The following is a 19,011-nucleotide window of genomic DNA, read 5'->3' as shown; positions in this document are numbered from 1 at the left end:
TTACTGTAAGTTTCTTAGAATAGAATAGTCGCAATTCCTCCGTTCCATCACTTTTGTCATTGCTGTTATGCATTTCACTTATCCATATATTATATAAACATATGTAACAACAAATTGTCATAATTATTTAAACACAAATTTTATATTTTATTCATAAAAATAAGAAAAATAAAAAATATTGTTTATCATAATCTATTTCTTTTCTCTTGCCTTTATTTCTAAGTTTCAGGCTTGCATTATTTTTATTCCTCTTGGAGAACTTTTATCATTTATTATAAGGCAGATTAAATGATGATGAATTTCCTCAGTGTTTAATTTTCAGAGGATGTCTTATTTTTCCTTCACTTTTGAAAGATAATTTCTCATGATATCTAATTCTAAGTGGTTTTTTAATACGTTAAATATTTGACCCTAATCTTTTCTTGCTTATGGACTTATGATAAGAAGTTTGCTGTAATTCCTAACCTTATTCTTCTCTAGGTATTTTCCCTCTTGTGTTTCCTCAAGAGTTTTTTTTTCACTTTTAGCTGTCTGCAATTTGAAAATAATATGTGTTATTTTGTGAGTGTGTGTGTGTGTGTGTGTGTGTGTGTGTGTGTTTATCATGCCTGTTATCTCTGAGCTTCCTGAGTGTTTGTTTTCGTGTCTATTCTTAATTTTGTAAAGTTCTTAGCCATTGTTCCTTGAAGTATTACTTCTGCTACACTATCTCTTTATTCCTCTTTTAGTATTACTATTATGTGTTTGTTGAAGATTTTCAAATTGATCCTGGTTTTGGGACATTCATTTCTATTTTTGTTGTTGTTATTATTAGTTTTATCCTTTGCATTAAGTTTAAGACAATTCAACTGGCCTAATTTTAAGCTCACTAATTTCTTTTCTAGGCCATGTTCAGTCTACTGATTAGCTATCAAACAACATTCTTCATTTCTGTTACTGTTTTTCATTTCTAGTGTTACCTTTTGATTTTTTCTTATAATTTTCTTTACTTAAATTGTCCATCTTTTAAGTTGTCTACTTTTTCTATTGCAGATTTTAACATATTAGTCATAACTAACTTCTTATCTGTATCATATCTGAGTCTAGTTTGTTTGCTTTCTTTATCGCTTCTGTTCTTCATGGGCATGACTTATAATACTTTTATTGAAAGGCAGATATTTTGTAAAGGGTAATACAATATGTATATTTAATATCATGTCTTAAATATATCTAAGGCATTCCAGGTTTATGTGCTAACAACAAAATAAAGTTCCCCCAAACATGTGCCTCTTCCAATGTTTCCTATGTAGGTGAATGACATTATGATCTATAGAATTGCATATATTCTTATTTATTTTACCTAGTAAAAAATACTGTATTTTTTTTGACCTTCCCTCCATCTACACCACAATACCTGCTCATGCAATTATATCACTCACCTGGAAATCAGCAGTTAAATTTTTGTTTTTCCCACACTAGCCATAGATTACCTGTGCTCCATTTTCCCCATAGCAGTCAGGATAATATTTTAAAAATCTGAAAATGCCAACAAACACAAAAAATATTTTAATTGTTTTCACTCTTTTTTAGAAAAAGACAACTGTTAGGCTGGGCACGATGGCTCACGCCTATAATCCTAGCGCTTTGGGAGTCCAAGGCGGGCGGATCATGAGGTCAAGAGATCGAGAGCATCCTGGCCAACACGGTGAAACCCCGTCTCTACTAAAAATACAAAAATTAGCTGGACGTGGTGGCGGGTGCCTGTAGTCCCTGCTACTCAGGAGAGTGAGGCAGGAGAATAGCTTGAATCCGGGAGGTGGGGGTTGCAGTGAGCTGAGGTCGCGCCACGGCAATCCAGCCTGGCAACAGAGTGAGGCTCCGTCTCAAAAAAAAAAAAGACAAAGAAAAAGACAACTGTTATCCTGATCAATAAAAATCTAACACCCTCTCCCTAAGTGTCTCTTCAGCTTTTTTTCATATCATGCATCCTCATTGTATTCTTTGCTTTGTCATCTCTGATCTTTTACTTTCGGGAGTCTCTGTACTCATTAATAATGCCCCTGCATATCACAGTACACTTCATGTGCTATTTCCTGTGTCTTGGCTTCTCTATGCTGCCCCACTTATTATCTGGTTTTTTGATTATTCAACCATTAATGCATTATATTCCATTATTTGATTTCCACTTTCACTAATCATAATTATGTCAAATCTTACTTCCATAAGTCCTCAAAGAGTTAGTTCCTTTATATAGCAGTAATCATGGATACACATTTATAGTGTCTGTTGTGTTTAATGTGCTTTTCTATCTCTGGATTATTAGTACAAAGTAGGCCAAAGTCACATCTGTTTTTGTTATCAACACTTATAAAAAATCATGACAACTTTAAGGGCTCAATAGTGTTTTGATAAATATTTATACATTAATTTCCTGCTGAAATTAGTCACCAGACTTATACATTTAAAAACTACGTATTGAGCCCTTCCCATACTGTTGTCTCAATACTAGGCATTAAAAATGCAGTGATGCCTAAAATGTACTTATGCATCCTCATGAAACTAGGAGGATCCTCATGAAGCAATGAGTCTAATACATGGCCTAATAGATAGCATAAATATTAGGTATTACTTTTTAGTCTCAGAAGTATATATTAAAAGGTCTGTAAAACAATAGATTATATAAGATCTATCTTGTCTGTATTCACCATGTAATCTTTACATGTAAGTGTTATTCAAACATAAAGAAACATTATGAAAAAGTAAGGCAACTTCTACTTTTCGAGGCATACAGATCTTTATAGGAGTAATCAATTGTATCTGTTTTATCAGGTACCCCTTGAGTCAACACATAATAAGTATGAGAAGAAGAAAAAATGCTAGAAAATAAATACAAAATATTTTAAGTGAAAGAATTTTAATGTACAAAACTAAAATACTGCGGAAAATAAAGTTTCATTTCCTAAAAATTCTGTTTCTTCTCATAACCAGTTCAGAAAACAAAACTCTGAATGTATAGATGTACAAAAGCAATTCTATCAAATGGCAAGAATATCATTATGAAGTTTGCATTTTTCTAGTAGTGAATTTATCAGTTTTACTACTTTACATTGTTGGTCTTCTTATGAGAGCCTCTAGAATTTTATTGGAAATTCAGGAAAATCTTGTCTATCCTATAATACACCATAATTTTCTTCAGTTATTCCTATAAGCTAAGAAAAATATAGTCAGATAATCCAATAACAGAAAATCCATATCTTTCTAATTTTGGATATTACAATTACTATTTTGTATGTTTGAATCCCATGCTCAGATCTTCAGTGTTTTATTTGAAATTCATGAAATTATATACAGCTTGTAATATAGATATTTCTATAATTAGTTATGGAAAGCAAAGCAATATAATACAGTATAGGCTTCTCCAGATGTCCATCCAAATAAAAATCATATTGAAATAGAGGCCCGACCAGGCCTGGTGGCTCAAGCCTGTAATCCCAGCACTTTGGAAGCCCAAGGAGGGTCAGGAGTTCAAGACTAGCCTGGCCAAAAGTGAGAAACCCCATCTCCACTAAAAGTACAAAAATTAGCCGGAGGAGGAGCAAGCCGGACCGGGGGGGGCGGCTGCACAGTCTCTGGGATCCCCAGGCCTGGAGAGGGGGTCTGTGCACAGCCGGCTGGCTCTGTCTCCTCGTCTGGTCCCGAGTAGGCCTCCCTTGGGCTAGCCCGATGTGACCCAGCCCAGTGGAGCCTGAGCAAGCAGCGGGTCCGTCACAGAGCTGGAGGGCGGGAGGAACATGACATCGCGGAGATGGTTTCACCCAAATATCACTGGTGTGGAGGCAGAAAACCTACTGTTGACAAGAGGAGTTGATGGCAGTGTTTTGGCAAGGCCTAATAAAAGTAACCCTGGAGACTTCACACTTTCCATTAGAAGAAATGGAGCTGTCACCCACATTTAGAGCACTGGTGATTACTATGACCTCTATGGAGAGGAGAAATGTGCCACTTTGGCTGAGTTGGTCCAGTATTACATGGAACATCATAGGCAATTAAAAGAGAAGAATGGAGATGTTATTGAGCTTAAATATCTTCTGAACTGTGCAGATTATACCTCTGAAAGGAACTGAAATATGACGTTGGTGGAGGAGAACGGTTTGATTCTTTAACAGATCTTGAAGAACATTACAAGAAGAATTCCATGGTGGAAACCTTGGGTACAGTACTACAACTCAAGCATCCCCTTAACACGACTCATATAAATGCTGCTGAAATAAAAAGCAGAGTTCGAGAACTAAGCAAATTAGCTGAGACCACAGACAAACTCAAACAAGGCTTTTGGGAAAAATTTGAGACACTACAACAACAGGAGTGCAAACTTCTCTACAGCCGAAAAGAGGGTCAAAGGCAAGAAAACAAAAACAAAAATAGATATAAAAACATCCTACCCTTTGATCATACTAGGGTTGTCCTACACGACGGTGATCCCGATGAGCCTGTTTCAGATTACATCAGTGCAAATACCATCATGCCTGAATTTGAAACCAGGTGCAACAATTCAAAGCCCAAAACGTGTTACATTGCCACACAAGGCTGTCAGCAAAACACAGTGAATGACTTTTGGCAGATGAAGTTCCAAGAAAACTCCCGAGTGATTGTCATGACAACAAAAGAAGTGGATAGAGGAAAGAGTAAATGTGTCAAATACTGGCCTGATGAGTATGCTTTAAAAGAATATGGCGTCATGCGTGTTAGGAACGTCAAAGAAAGCGCAGCTCATGACTATACACTAAGAGAACTTGAACTTTCAAAGATTGGACCAGGGAATATGGAGAGACCGGTCGGGCAATATCACTTTCGGACCTGGCCGGACCATGGAGTGCCCAGCGACCCCGGGGTCGTGCTGGACTTCCTGGAGGAGGTGTACCATAAGCAGGGGAGCATCACGGATGCAGGGCCGGTCGTGGTGCACTGTAGTGCTGGAATTGGCCTGACAGGGACGTTCATTGTGATTGATATTCTTACTGACATCGTCAGAGAGAAAGGTGTTGACTGCAACATTGACGTTCCCAAAACCATCCAGATGATGCGGTCTCAGAGGTCAGGGATGGTCCAGACAGAAGCATAGTACCGATTTATCTATACGGCAGTCCAGCATTATATTGAAACACTGCAGCTCAGGATTGAAGAAGAGCAAAAAAGCAAGAGGAAAGGGCACGAATATATAAATATTAAGTATTCTCTAGCGGACCAGAAGAGTGGAGATCAGAGCCCCCTCCTGCCTTGTACTCCAACGCCACCCTGTGCAGAAATGAGAGAAGACAGTGCTAGAGTCTGAAAACGTGGGCCTGATGCAGCAGCAGAAAAGTTTCAGATGAGAAAACCTGCCAAAACTTCAGCACAGAAATAGAAGTGGACTTTCACCCTCTCTCTGAAAAGATCAAGAACAGATGCAAGAAAGTTTATGTGAAGACAGAATTTAGATCTGGAAGGCTTGCATTGTGGTTGACTACCTTTTGATAAGCAAAATTTGAAACCATTTAAAGATCACTGTATTTTAACTCAAAAATACCTGCTTCCCAATTACTTATTTCCTCAGATAAGAAGAAATCATCTCTTCAATGTAGACAACATTATATTTTATAGAATTTGTTTTAAATTGAGGAAGCAGTTAACTTGTGCACTGTATTTTGCAGATGATGGGGATTCAAATTCTAGTAATAGGCTTTTTTTTTTCTTTTTATAACCTTAACCAGTTTAAGTTTTTTTCCTCATTGTGGGGGATGATAAGAAGAAATGATCTGGGAAAATTAAGTAACGACATCCTAGAAAAGTGAGAACAATCTCATTTACCGTCATGTATCGAGTAGTGTATAATTCATTTTGATGGCTTCTATTTTTGGCCAAATGAGAACTAAGCCAGTGCCTGAGACTGTCAGAAGCTGACTGGTCTACTTTTGCATTGGCATTAAAGAGTCATAGGAAAAGAATCATGGATATTTATGAACTAAGATAAGAGGCGTGGCTTTTTTATTTTTTTTCAGTCGATGACCAATTATAGTTCAGCTGTTGACTGAGAAGGTTGTGGTGGGAAAACGTTTGCCATATTTTCCTTGCATTTGAGTAATTGTCTTGTACTTAGAAAAAAGGCATCTATGAATGACCAGTGTTTTTGGTTGTCAAGTATTGCTGACAAACTTACCCTAAAACTTTAGTGGCTTAAAAAATCACCACCCCCAACTGTTCTTCAATCTGAGCTGGGCTCAGCTGGGCTGTTCTTCTGCCAGCCTGCAGGTGGCCCCTCATGTGGTTAGCAGGTCAGCGGAGAGACTGGGATGGCTGGGCTTATCTCTCTGCCTGCAGTCCTGAGTCTCTCCTTCTCCATGTAGTCTCTTTCATGGAGCCAGTGGTGGCTGGCAGGGTACCTAGACCTCTCACATGCAGCTCAGAGCTCCCAAGAGCTCAAAAGCACAGTAGCCAGGCCTTCTGAAGACTTAAGTGCAGAATTGTCACAGTGTTCCTTTTACTGCCCTCTATTGATGATGATGATTTTTTCTAATCAGAAGAGAGCTGGAGTATGCCCTCTACTTACTAAACAAGTCACAAGCCCAGCCCAGATTCAAGAAAAGGGTGTGAAATGGAGTTACAGCTAATTGGGGGGCCACTAGTCTAACAGATGGTCACAACCACAACCTTGGCCATGGAAAACCAAGGATATTAGCAAAAGTAGAAGTTGCTAGTGAACTTGGGAAGCCGAAGTTGCTTACAGTAGCTGGGACAAGCTGAAAGTCAGACTGAGAAATGAAGAAAGGGCCTTCAAGAAGCTTCCTGAATGATTTCTGCCAACCCTGAGCCTATTTTTGGAAACAGCACATGGGGAAACTGATCTTGTGAGGATGGATGTGTTTAGGGGCTCAGGGCTTTTGAGAGCAGCACCACCCCACTGGGGCACCCCCAGACTTGGGAAATGTGACTCTTTCTTAATGCCACTGGTTTTCAGTCAGGCCACAGTGAGAAGGAACAGCCCTAACAGGCCTCCAGCCAGGTTGAACAAGCTCATTTTTGTTTTAGCCAACTGGTAAGATTTGCTAATATTCTACCTTAAGTCCCTTCTCCAAAGACATCCCTTTGCCTCATATGTTGAATCATCATTCAATGCAGATATTTCAATGAAAACATCATTGGTTGTCTTTTGTAACGGTAATAAAATGCTATGGCATCTTTGCCGTGAAGTTATGGTCTCCTTGGATTCTTCTGACTGTGGCTCCTGAAAGGAAGGCCGAGATCCAGCCCTGGTAGTAGTTGCTTTCTGAGGTCTCTCAGTCTCTTGACACTCTAAGGTAGTTTGGCTGCCATTCTCACTGACAAAATACATATCAGCCCCTACCCCGCCCCCCAATATTCATTGAACTTTGAATTGCTTCAGAACACAGGTGTGGCCTGAAGGTATTCCCTTATTAAGGAAATGTTGTGACTGCTGTCTTCTAGTCAAACTTGTAAAGAAAAAGATTTCAGTTCAGTATTTGCAGCAAGAAGCTTGAATCCTGTTCTTTTTATTGCATTGTTACATATACTCACTCTCCATTTTGCTTTGGTTTTGTCTTGACTTGACTTTGGGGGTAAAGTCTTTCACCAGCACACAAGAGTTTGTGCAAATGTATCTCCTGCATTAACATCTCTGCCTGTTGCTTAAGATCAGTTGCTTTTATACTCAGAATGGAAATACCTGATCTTGGCTAGCTTTGTTTGTTACAAGATACTGATTTCATTTAGATTTCCCTCCATGAGGTCAACAAACTATCACGTTCTTATGTGAACTTAGGCCAGGGCCAGAGTTATCATAGACCCTAGATTGCTAAGGCTTATCATGTGTTTGGTAAAAGGTGATCGCAAGTTCTCAGAAGAGTTTACTTTACACGGGATGGAATCAGGCAGAGAGGCTGGGATGATGGAGAAAGCTCGAGGTGCAAGTTTAAAAAAAATTGTGGAAATGCAAGTTCCAAAGAGGTGGTTTCTGAGGAAGTCAGAGAGCCCAGGGCCAGAGCAGTCAGCAATGGGTGAATCAGGTTATTTGGAAAGTCGGTGTGACAGACACATGGATGCCATTTACTTCTAGGTTTCTGGTAGGTATTAAATATGCACAATATTCCATAGCTCACTGAGGATTTTAAAATTATAAGCATAGGATATTATATTTCGCGGTGAAAGATTTATCTGGCACATGGTATTGGGGTTAAAAAAAGCCAAATTTCACAGTCTTAGTAACTTTTTCAAAAAAAAAAGAAAAACTAAAAGGCACTTCGTGTCTAGTGTGTGGCCCTTCTGAAACTTATGGTCATCTCTCCCACTGAAATCAAGGTCTTTTCAAATGTGGCTAATTGGGGATGAGAAAACATGGGTAGGACTTTCTTGGTGTGTGTGCATTCTTTAAAGAGCCCATTTGCTTTGGGGAAGCCAAGAAAATGGTCAATATTATTTTTAGAGGTTATTTTATTGGGGATTTTAAGAACCAATAGCATCTTGAGTTTTTTTAATTCAGGATGATGTGGAAAGGTTTGCAATTTTGAAGTGTTTTGTTGTAGCTTAGTATCCATAAGGGAAACTTAGACTACAGACATAACTACAAAGCCAGTGCAGCTTTTGTTTTCTGTATGTTGTTGGGGAACTCAAGTTTCACATATAGCAAGCACGTGGCCTCCCTGATGTCAGGATGCCTTTGTTAGGATCTGTATTTGCCCTTAATTTTGTTGAAATCTTTTTTCCTTCTTCCTCTTGAAACATTCCAAACTATAGTTTATAGTATCTTTCATCACTAAAAATTTGTTTGTTTTTCACTACGGGCAGTTCACACAAGGCAAAAACCATTGAACAGTTGGTTTTAGTGTGTCGTATAACTTTGCTGTGTATCAAACTAATTTTGACAAGCTTTCATCATAAGCCTCAAATCATGTAATTAATAATTTGCCTGTTTATTTACGACCTAATTGTGATTCTTTTATTAATAAAAGCTAATGGGAAAAGGATCCCTGATTAAGCTGATGACTAGACCTACAATTAATTTTCCTGCAATATATGAAGTATTGTACCAGAGTATTAAAAGATATGTAATATTTATTGATAAATCTATCCTTTAAAAGGAATATGTTTTAGGATGTCATCATTTTGATGTGACTCATGTAAATGTTGATAATATGCTGTTTATCATACATTTAGTGTTTCAAGAAATTCACTTAATTGCTTTTTTGCCCAAGTATATTATGTAGTCTATTTGCAACTGTTTTTTAAAAAATGACATTAAAAGAATAGTTGATGTAGAGAAATATTAGTGAATGCTAATTTTCTCCCCACCTATATTTATGAATGTTAGTGCAACAGCTTTGCTAGTTGCAAAGCTGTATTATCACAGTAAAAGTGTATTTGTAAACTGTATGGGAACTAAAAATTAGGAATAAAACCATTTTCTTATATGAAAAAAAGAAATTAGCCAAGCGTGGTGGCGGGTGCCTGTAATCCCAGCTACCCGGGAGGCTGAGGCAGGAGAATCACTTGAACCCAGGAGGTAGGTGTTACAATGAGCCAAGATCATGCCACTGCACTCCAGCCTGGGTGACAGAGTGAGACTCCATCTCAAAAATTTTATTTCCTTAACAAGTACTTATTTTTTTATTTTTATTTTTTTAAGACTAGTCAAGTGCAATAATGAGAAGGAGGAAAAGAGTAGAACAGAAGTTCGATCTGTGACTGTGAACAATCAATTGAGATAATGCGTTATCTCTGGACAAGCCTCTTCAAGTATTTAATGAACACATTATAATCATATTGAACTAATTTTAAAATTATGTAATTTATATAAACTTATATGTAAATTGCACATACATATACATCTACACAGAGCTTATTCTCAACAAATGTGTATGTATGGGCAAGAAACACAATAAAACTCCTAGGACAAAATGGTACACTGCTGGAATATATTACTGTATTGTGCCTACACTGTGGGATTGTGTACATGATTTCTTATGGAAGTGACAATTGAACAAATGTAAAGGTAAATTTGCCAAATGTAATACATAAAATTATTGTTCCATCTCTTCACTCCCTTCTTGTAATAAAATGATACATCAACACTTGCCATGTGACTGCAGTTCCTCCAGGAGAGAACACAGACCATCCAGCATATCACATTGATGAAGGCTTCACCAAATTATTCTTGTGGCCGATAATAGGATATTAGGAGATGCCATGAGTTTCTGCTTAAAATGTGCTTGTGAAGCTCTTACATTTCTTCTACCATCTGCCTTGAAAAGAGCATAACCAAGGCTAGTGCTAATTCCAGAATGAGGAACTCATGGGGAATATGTAAGCCCATGTTTCTATAAGTAAAAAAGAAAAAAAAAACTTTCTGTAAGCCATTGAGATTTTGAGTTTGTTATGAAGAATTTATGGCAGAATTCTAATAAATACATCAATGGTAGTATCAATATCAGATAATTCTGGAATGAGAAAATTCTGAAATAAGCAATGTGGGAGAAAAATTAAACATTGTGAAGGGTAGAGAATGAAAAATAAACCCAGACAATAACATCTCGAGGTCAAACTCGAGATGTAATAAAAATAATTGCTATTTTTTTTTAATGCAAATCACATGCCAGCATAGGTTAAAGTTTCTCTGTATATTGGTAAGCAAATTCTATTTTGATAAATGTTTTCATTGTGTTTATTTTTTTCATACTACTCTACCTACCTTATATTTACTATATGGAGTTTTGATAGTAATAGGCAGTATATATATTTTTTAAAACCAGTGTGACAAACTTTTAAAAAATATGTTGTTTAATTCATTTATAATTACCCTAATTACTGACGTGTGTTTAAGTAGAGTCTTTTCTATTTTATAATTTTTTCATTCTTTCTTCCATTTTTTGGATGTATTATATGTTTTTTAATCAATTTCCGTTTTCTTTTTGGATAATTTGCTAGTTATTTTACTTTTAGTTGACAACTCATATAAAATTTATAAGATACACTTAACTCATTAATGATAAAATAAAATACAGGACTAATATAAGACAGAGTGTGAGAGTGTGTTTCCCAGAATATTTCCAGATTTCAGACAATATCGGGGTCTCAGAATTCTTAGAACACCTGTCTCCAGTTATTTCCCCATGCCTTTAGTTTTATTGTAGATATGTGCTTTAATTAAGGTGCATGCATATATATAATATGTACTTAATTGTGCATAAGTATTATATACAAAGTTCTACAACATATAATTATTTCCTTAGTCAATTTCATTTAATCCACCTTCAAATTTGCCTGCCACATTCTTCCCTCTGCTTTCTTTATCCCCATGTTTCTATCTGTGATTGTTTTCCAGTGCCAAAAAAATCTTCCTGTAGCATTTTCTTTAATCGGGACTTACACAGCTGATTTCTTCCAGTTTTTGTTTTTCAGAAATTAACAATTATCTTCATTTATGAATGATATTTTCACAAGGTATTGAATTCTGGGGTTCTAGGGTGGCACTTCAATGATTTCAGCCCATTGTCTGCTGGCTTCTATTGTTTCTTTGGGGAAGTTTTTTGAAGGTTACATTCTTTTTTCGGGCTTCTCTAATTCTATTTTCTTGCTGCCTTTATAATTTTCCTCTTTGTCTTTGTTTTTGGCAGTTTTACTGTGATATTTCTGTTTCTTTTCTTTCTTTGGTTTGCTTTCAGTTTGTGTGTGTGTGTGTGTGTGTGTGTGTGTGTTGTTGTTGTTGCTGCTGTTATTGTGTTGCTGCATGCCTGATTATTTTTGCATGAGAGCAAGAAATTATGTATAAAACATTGCAAGATAACTTAAAACTCAAATTGTTTTTTCATCCAAAAATGTTTGCTTCAAGAATCAATTAAACAGTGTTCAGGTAACCTTAATACAAATGGACATTGACTTGCTTTGAAACTGGCTTCACTTACTGTGATTGCCGGCATATTTTCTCTTCACCTAACCTAAGGCATATCCTCTCAGGGGCCCAACTGAAATTTTGGTGTGGAATCCAGGATCCTTCTCCCAGGTTAGCCTCAAATTCCAATTTATGTCCTCTCATCAACTCTGTGCAATTGTCCAAAACGCTGGTAAGTTTCTTACTTCTCAACCACAGATGACTGTTCAGCTTCTCAGATCTCCACCCTCCTCAGAGCAAATCCTTGGCGAAAAAGTGGTTCCAAGTGTCTGCCTCACATCTCTGGGCTTCTCTGCCGTCCAGGAGAGTGCATTTGTAAGGCTTCCACGCTATAGAAGCACTCTGATAACTACAACATAAGGAGTGTCTAAAATTGGATACTGAAGATTAAGATGATGGATAGAAGACAGGACTAAAGTCTGCAGCTCCCATTTGGTCAGACAGAGCAGCACGTGAAGACTCACATTTTTGTGAGTCCTTTGCTCCAAGAACTACCACAGGAACATACTAGGAAAGGTGAGAGAATCCACAGACTCTTTGAAGGAACTGGATCACCCATGCAGGCTACCTGAGATGCCAAAAACCTGAGTCTGCTTGCTTTCTCAATGGCGAGGTTTGTGTTCTGAGGCAAATTCTCTGCCCTAGTCAGCAGTTGCCTGGAAATAGACATGGTACTCTTAGGGGACCACAAGTGGGAGTGAAATTGACCTTTAGGACTACCGACTGCAGAGGAGCAGAGTGAAACCAATGACTCCTGGCTTTTCCCCACCTCCCTGGTGACCTGTATGAGTCAGCAGAGGCAGCCATAATCCCCCTGGGAATATAACTCCATTGAACTGGGAACCACGCCCCATCCCCCACAATAGCCACAGGAAGCCCTTCCCAAGGAGAGGCTGAGCTCAGATATGCCTATCCGTGCCCCCGACCTGGTAGGTCTTTCTCTACCTATGCTGGTAGCCAAAGACAAAGGTCATTATCTCTTGGGAGCTCTACAGCCCTGATCACCATCTGAGATTCCTGAATACTTAACCAGGTGTCCCTAGGGCAAGTTTGCATCCTCCCTATAGGACCACAGCTGATGGACTCTTAAAAGTCCACCTCCTGGCTGGAGGCCAACTAACACAAAACCAGCCCACTAAACAAAAACACAACTGTGGACCCTCACAGAGTCCACTTCACTCCCCTGCTACCTCCACTGAAGCAGGTGCTGGTATTCACGGCTGCAAGATCTGAAGACTGATTGCATCACAGGACTCTTTGCAGACACTCCCCAGTACCAGCCGGGACCCTGAGTGGCTAGACCCAGAAGAGCAAAAACAATTACTACCCAGTTCAGCTCTCAGAAAGCCCCATTTCTATGGGAACAGGGAGAACACCACAACAAAGGAGCACCCTGTGGCACAAAAGAATCTGAATGGCAGCCCTTGAATCCCAGATCTTCCCTCTGACATATTCTGCCCAAATGAGAAGGAACCAGAAAAACAATTCCGGTAATATGATAAAACAAGGTTCTTTAACACCCCCAAAAGATCATACCAGCTCACCAGCAATGTATCTAAACCAAGAAAATAAACTCTGAATTGCCAGAAAAAGAATTCAGAAAGTCAATTATTAAGCTAGTCAAGGAGGCACCAGAGAAAGGTGAAGTCCAATTTAAAGAAATCAAAAACATGATACACGATATGAAAGGAAAAATTTTCAGTGAAATAAATTTAAAAAATCACAACTTCTAGGAATCAAGGACACACTTAGAGAAATGCAAAATGCACTGGAAAGTGTCGGCAATAGAATCAAACAAGCAGAAGAAAGAACTTCAGAGCTCACAGGCAAGGCTTTTGAATTAACCCAATCCATCAAAGACAAAGAAAAAAGAATTTTTAAAAATAAAAGATGTGTCCAAGAAGTTTGGGACTATGTTAATGTCCAAAAGTAAGAATAATTGGTGTTCCTGAGGAAGAAGAGAAATCTAAAAGTTTGGAAAACATATTTGAGGGAATAATCAAGAAAAACTTACCCGGCTTTGCTAGTGATCTAGACATCCAAATACTAAAAGCTCAAAGAACACCTGGAAAATTCATAGCAAAAAGATCATCACTTAGGCACATACTCCTCAGGTTATCTAAAGTCAAGACAAAGGAAAGACTCTTAAGAGCTGTGAGATAAAAGCATTAGGTAACCTATAAAAGATAACCTGACAGATTAACAGCAGATTTCTCAGCAGAAACCCTACTAGGTAGAAGGGGTTGGGGTCCTATTTTTAACCTCCTCAACAAAACAAGTATCAGCCAAGAATTTTGTATCCAGCGAAGCTAAGGCTCATAAATGAAGGAAAGATAGAGTCTTTTCCAGAAAACAAATGCTGAGAGTATTCAAGCAACGAAGAACATGATGAATAGAATGACACCTCACATCTCAATACTAACACTGAATGTAAATAGGCTAAATGCTCAACTTAAAAGATACAGAATGGCAGGATGGATAAGCATTCACCAACCAAGTATGTGCTATTTTCAGGAGAGTAGAAGAAGATATACCATGCAAATGCACACCAAAAACAAGCAGAAGTAGCTACTCTTACATGGGACAAAACAAACTTTAAAGCAACAGTAATTACAAAAGACAAATAGGGACATTATGTAACGATACAAGGACTAGGACTTGTCCAACAGGAAAATATCAGAATTCTAAATATATATGCACCTAACACAAGAGCTCCTAAATTTATAAAATAATTACTATTGGACCTAAGAAATGAGATAGATGGGGGACTTTAATCCTCCATTGACAGCACTAGACAGGTCATCAAGACAGAAAGTTAACAAAGAAACCATGGACTTAAATTATACCTTAAAACAAATTGACTTAACAGATATTCACAAAACATTCTGCACAATGACTGCAGAAAATATACTCTATTCATCAGTACATGGAACATTCTCCAAGATAGACCATATGATAGGCCACAAAACAAGTTTCAGTAAATTTAAGAAATTGAAATTATATCAGGTACTCTCTCAGACCACAGTGGAATGAAACTGGAAATCAACTCTAAAAAGAACCCTCAAAACCATGAAAATACATGGAAATAAAATACCCTGGTCCTGAAGGATTGTTGGGTCAACAATGAAATCCAGATGGAAATCAAAAAATTCTTTGAACTGAATGATAATAGTGACACCACCTATCAAAACCTCTGTGATACAGGAAAAGTGGTGCAAGAGGAAAGTTCATTACATTAAATGCTTACATCAAAAAGTCTGAAAGAGCACAAATAGAAAATCTAAGGTTATACCTCAAGGAACTGGAGTTAAATAGAACAATCGAAACCCAAATCCAGCAGAAGAAAAGAAATAACAAAGATCAGAGCAGACTAAATGAAATTGAAACAAACAGTCCAAAAATTCAGAAGATAAATGAAACAAACAGCTGATTTTTTGAAAAGATAAATAAAATTGATACACCATTAGTGAGATTAACCAAGAAAAGTAGAGAGATGATTCAAATAAGATCAATTGAAAACAAAATAGGATACTACAACCAATACCACAGAAATATAAAAGATTATTCAAGGCTACTATGAACATCTTTACACAGGTAAACTAGAAAACCTAGAGGAGTTGGATAAATTCCTGGAAATATACAACCCTCTTAGATTAAACCAGGAAGATACAGAATCTCTGAACAGAACAAAAACAAGCAGTGAGATTGAAATAGTAATTTTTAAAAATGACAACAAAAAGAGTCCAGGACAGGATGGATTTACACCTAAATTTGATTGGACATTCAAAGAAGAATTGGTACCAATCCTATTGACACTAATCCAAAAGATAGACAGAAAGTTAATCCTCCCTAAATCATTCTAAGAAGCCAGTACAACCCTAATACCAAACCCAGGGAAGGACATAACAAAAAAAGAAAACTACAGACCAATATTCCTAATGAACATAGATGCAAAAATCCTCAACAAAATGCTAGTGAACTGAATCCAATAGCACATCAAAAAGATAATCCACCATGATCAAGTGGGTTGCATACCAGAGATGCAGGGATGGTTTTACCTATGTAAGTCAATAAATGTGATACATCACATAAACAGAAATAAGAACAAAAATCACACGATCATCTCAATAGACACAGAAAAAGTGATTGACAAAGTACAGCATCCATTTAGGATTAAAACCCTCAGCAAAATCAGCATACAAGCGATGTATCTCAATGTAATAAAAGCCATCTATGACAAACTCACAGCCAACATAATACTGAGTGGGGAAAAGTTGAAAGCGTTCCCTCTGAGAACTGGAACAAGACAGGGATGCCTACATTTACCATTTCTATTCAACATAGTACTGGACAATCAAACAAGAGAAAGAAATAAAGGGCATCCAAATCAGTAACAAGGAAATCAAACTGATCAAATTGTTGCTGTTTGCTAATGATGTTTGTATACATAGAAAACCCTAAAGACTCATTCAAAAAGTTCCTAGAACTGGCAAATGAATTCAGCAAAGTTTCAGGATATGAAATTAATGTACACAAATCTGTAATCTGTAGCTCTGCTATATACCAACAGTGACCTAGCTGAGAAAGAAATGAAGAACTCAACCCCTTTCACAATAGCTGCGAAAAACAACAACAACAACAACAACAAAAAAAAAAACAAAAAACAGAAATATACCTAACCAGGCTGGGTGCGGTGGCTCTCGTCTGTAATCCCAGCACTTTGGGAGGCTGAGGTGTGCAGATCACCTAAGGTTGGGAGTTCGAGACCAGCCTGACCAACATGGAGAAACCCCGTCTCTACCAAAAATACAAAATTAGCTGGGCATAGTGGTGCATGCCTGTAATCCCAGCTACTCACTAGGCTGAGCCAGGAGAATCACTTGAACCCAGGAGATGGAGGTTGCAGTGAGCCGAGATCGCACCATTGCATTCCAGCCTGGGCAACAAGAGCAAAACTTCATCTCAAAAATAAAAGAGAAATATACCTAACCAAGGAGGTAAAAGATCTCTACAAGGAAAACTATAAAACACTGCTCAAAGAAATCATAGATGACACAAACATACAGAAACACTTGCCATGTTCATGGATGAGTCGAATCAATATTGTAAAAATGACCATACTGCCAAAAGCTATCTACAAATTCAATTCAATTCCCATCAAAATACCACCATCATTCTTCATAAAACTAGAAAAAAAATCTTAAAATTTGTAAGGAACCAAAAAAGGGCCCACATAGCCAAAACAAGACTAAGAAAAAGAGCAAATCTGGTGGCATCACATTACCTGACTTCAAACTGTATTATAAGGCCATAGTCACCAAAACAGCATGGTACTGGTATAAAAATAGGCACATAGACCAGTGGAATGGAATAGAGAACGCAAAAACAAAGCCAATCACTTAAAGCCAGCTGATCTTCAACAAAACAAACAAAAACATAAAGTGGGGAAATGACACCCTATTCAATGAATGGTGCTTGGATAGTTGGCAAGCCACATGTAGAAGAATGAAACTGGATCCTCATTTATCACCTTATACAAAAGTCAACCCAACATGAATCAAAGACTTAAATCTAAGATCTGAAATCATAAAGATTCTAGAAGCTAACATTGGGAAAAAAAAAACAAAAAACCCTTCTAGAAATTGGCATAGGTAGTCTTCATGGCCAAGAACCCAAAAGCAAATGCAACAAAAGCAAAGATAAAGATGGAACTTAATTAAACTAAAAAACTTCTGCACAGCAAATAAAAATAATCAGCAGAGTTAACAGACAACCCATAGAGTGGGAGAAAAATATTTACAACCTATACATCCAACAAAGGACTAACATCTAGAATCTACAAAGAAGTCAAATAAATCAGCAAGAAAAAAATAAACAATCCCATCGAAAAGTAGGCTAAGGACATGAATAGACAATTCTCAAAAGAAGATATATAAATTGCCAATAAACATATGGAAAAATGCTCAACATCACTAGTTATCAGGGATATGCAAATCAAAACCACAATGCTCTATTACCCCACTCCTGTAAGAATGGCCATAATCAAAAAATCGGGAAAATAATAAATGTTGGTGTGGATGCAGTGAAATGGGAACACTTTTAAACTGTTGGTGGAAATGTAAACTAGTACAACCACTATGGAAAACAGTGTGGAGATTCCTTAAAGTACTAAAAGTAGATCTACCATTTGATCCAGCAATCCCACTACCAGGTATCTACCCAGAGGTAAAGGAGTCATTATACAAAGAAGATACTTGCATATGCATGTTTATAGCAGCACAATTTGCAATTGCAAAAATATGGAACCAGCCCAAATTCCCATCAATCAATGGATGAATAAAGAAAATGTGGTATATATATACCATGGAATACTACTCATCCATAAAAAAGGAACAAAATAATGGCATTCCCAGCAACCTGGATGGAATTGGGGACTGTTACTCTAAGCGAGGTAATGCAGGAATGGGAAACCAAACTTATGTTCTCACTCACATGTGGGGGCTAAACTATGAAGACGCAAAGGCATAAGAATGATAGGTTGGACATGAGGGATTTGGAGGAAAGGGTGGTGGGTGGCGAGGAATAAAGGATTACACATTGGGTACAGGGTGATGGGTGCACCAAAACCTCAGAAATCACCACTAAAGAACTTATTCATGTAACCGAACACCTTCCTGTTCCCCCCAAATCAATTGAACTATAAATACATAAGTACATAAAATAAAACCAAACTATAAAATTGGATCCCATTTTTAGTTTTTACCAGTCAAGTTCTGTCCCATTGCTACAAGTTGAACTCACTTCCCTTTAGCTTTACCTTGTTAAATAACAAATTTAAAATGTATGAAATTATAGAGTAAAGATATTAACAGACAAGTGATTTCTACATTTTGGTGAGGTATGCATTGTATACTACTATAGAATAGATACGTTTTTTCCAATGTGAATTAAGCTCATAATATACTGCAAGGACTTCTGTGATTTTAATCTAAACTACATTTAAAATTATGGAATATGCAATAGATATACAAGGAATACCTCTTGAAATAATGTAACTTTGAACTGAAAGCATGTTAGATCCATATTTGAACAAG

At 37.3% G+C, this 19,011-nt stretch overlaps 1 pseudogene, besides 1 other annotated feature; it reads left to right on the top strand.

The window, feature by feature from the left end:
• On the top strand, positions 3,604 to 4,950 carry PTPN11P4 (PTPN11 pseudogene 4; annotated as a pseudogene).
• Positions 12,125 to 13,324: an enhancer, noted in NCBI's record as "BRD4-independent group 4 enhancer chr5:23295698-23296897 (GRCh37/hg19 assembly coordinates)". NCBI's record gives its function as "activates an origin of replication core promoter dependent on BRD2, P300/CBP, MED14 and CDK7 cofactors, and independent of BRD4, by STARR-seq in HCT116 cells {active_cell/tissue: HCT116}" and the evidence as "EXISTENCE:reporter gene assay evidence [ECO:0000049][PMID:35650434]".

Source organism: Homo sapiens, chromosome 5 (genome assembly GCF_000001405.40).
Source record: "Homo sapiens chromosome 5, GRCh38.p14 Primary Assembly".
Lineage (NCBI taxonomy): Eukaryota > Metazoa > Chordata > Mammalia > Primates > Hominidae > Homo > Homo sapiens.
This window is presented reverse-complemented; position numbering and strand designations above follow the sequence as displayed.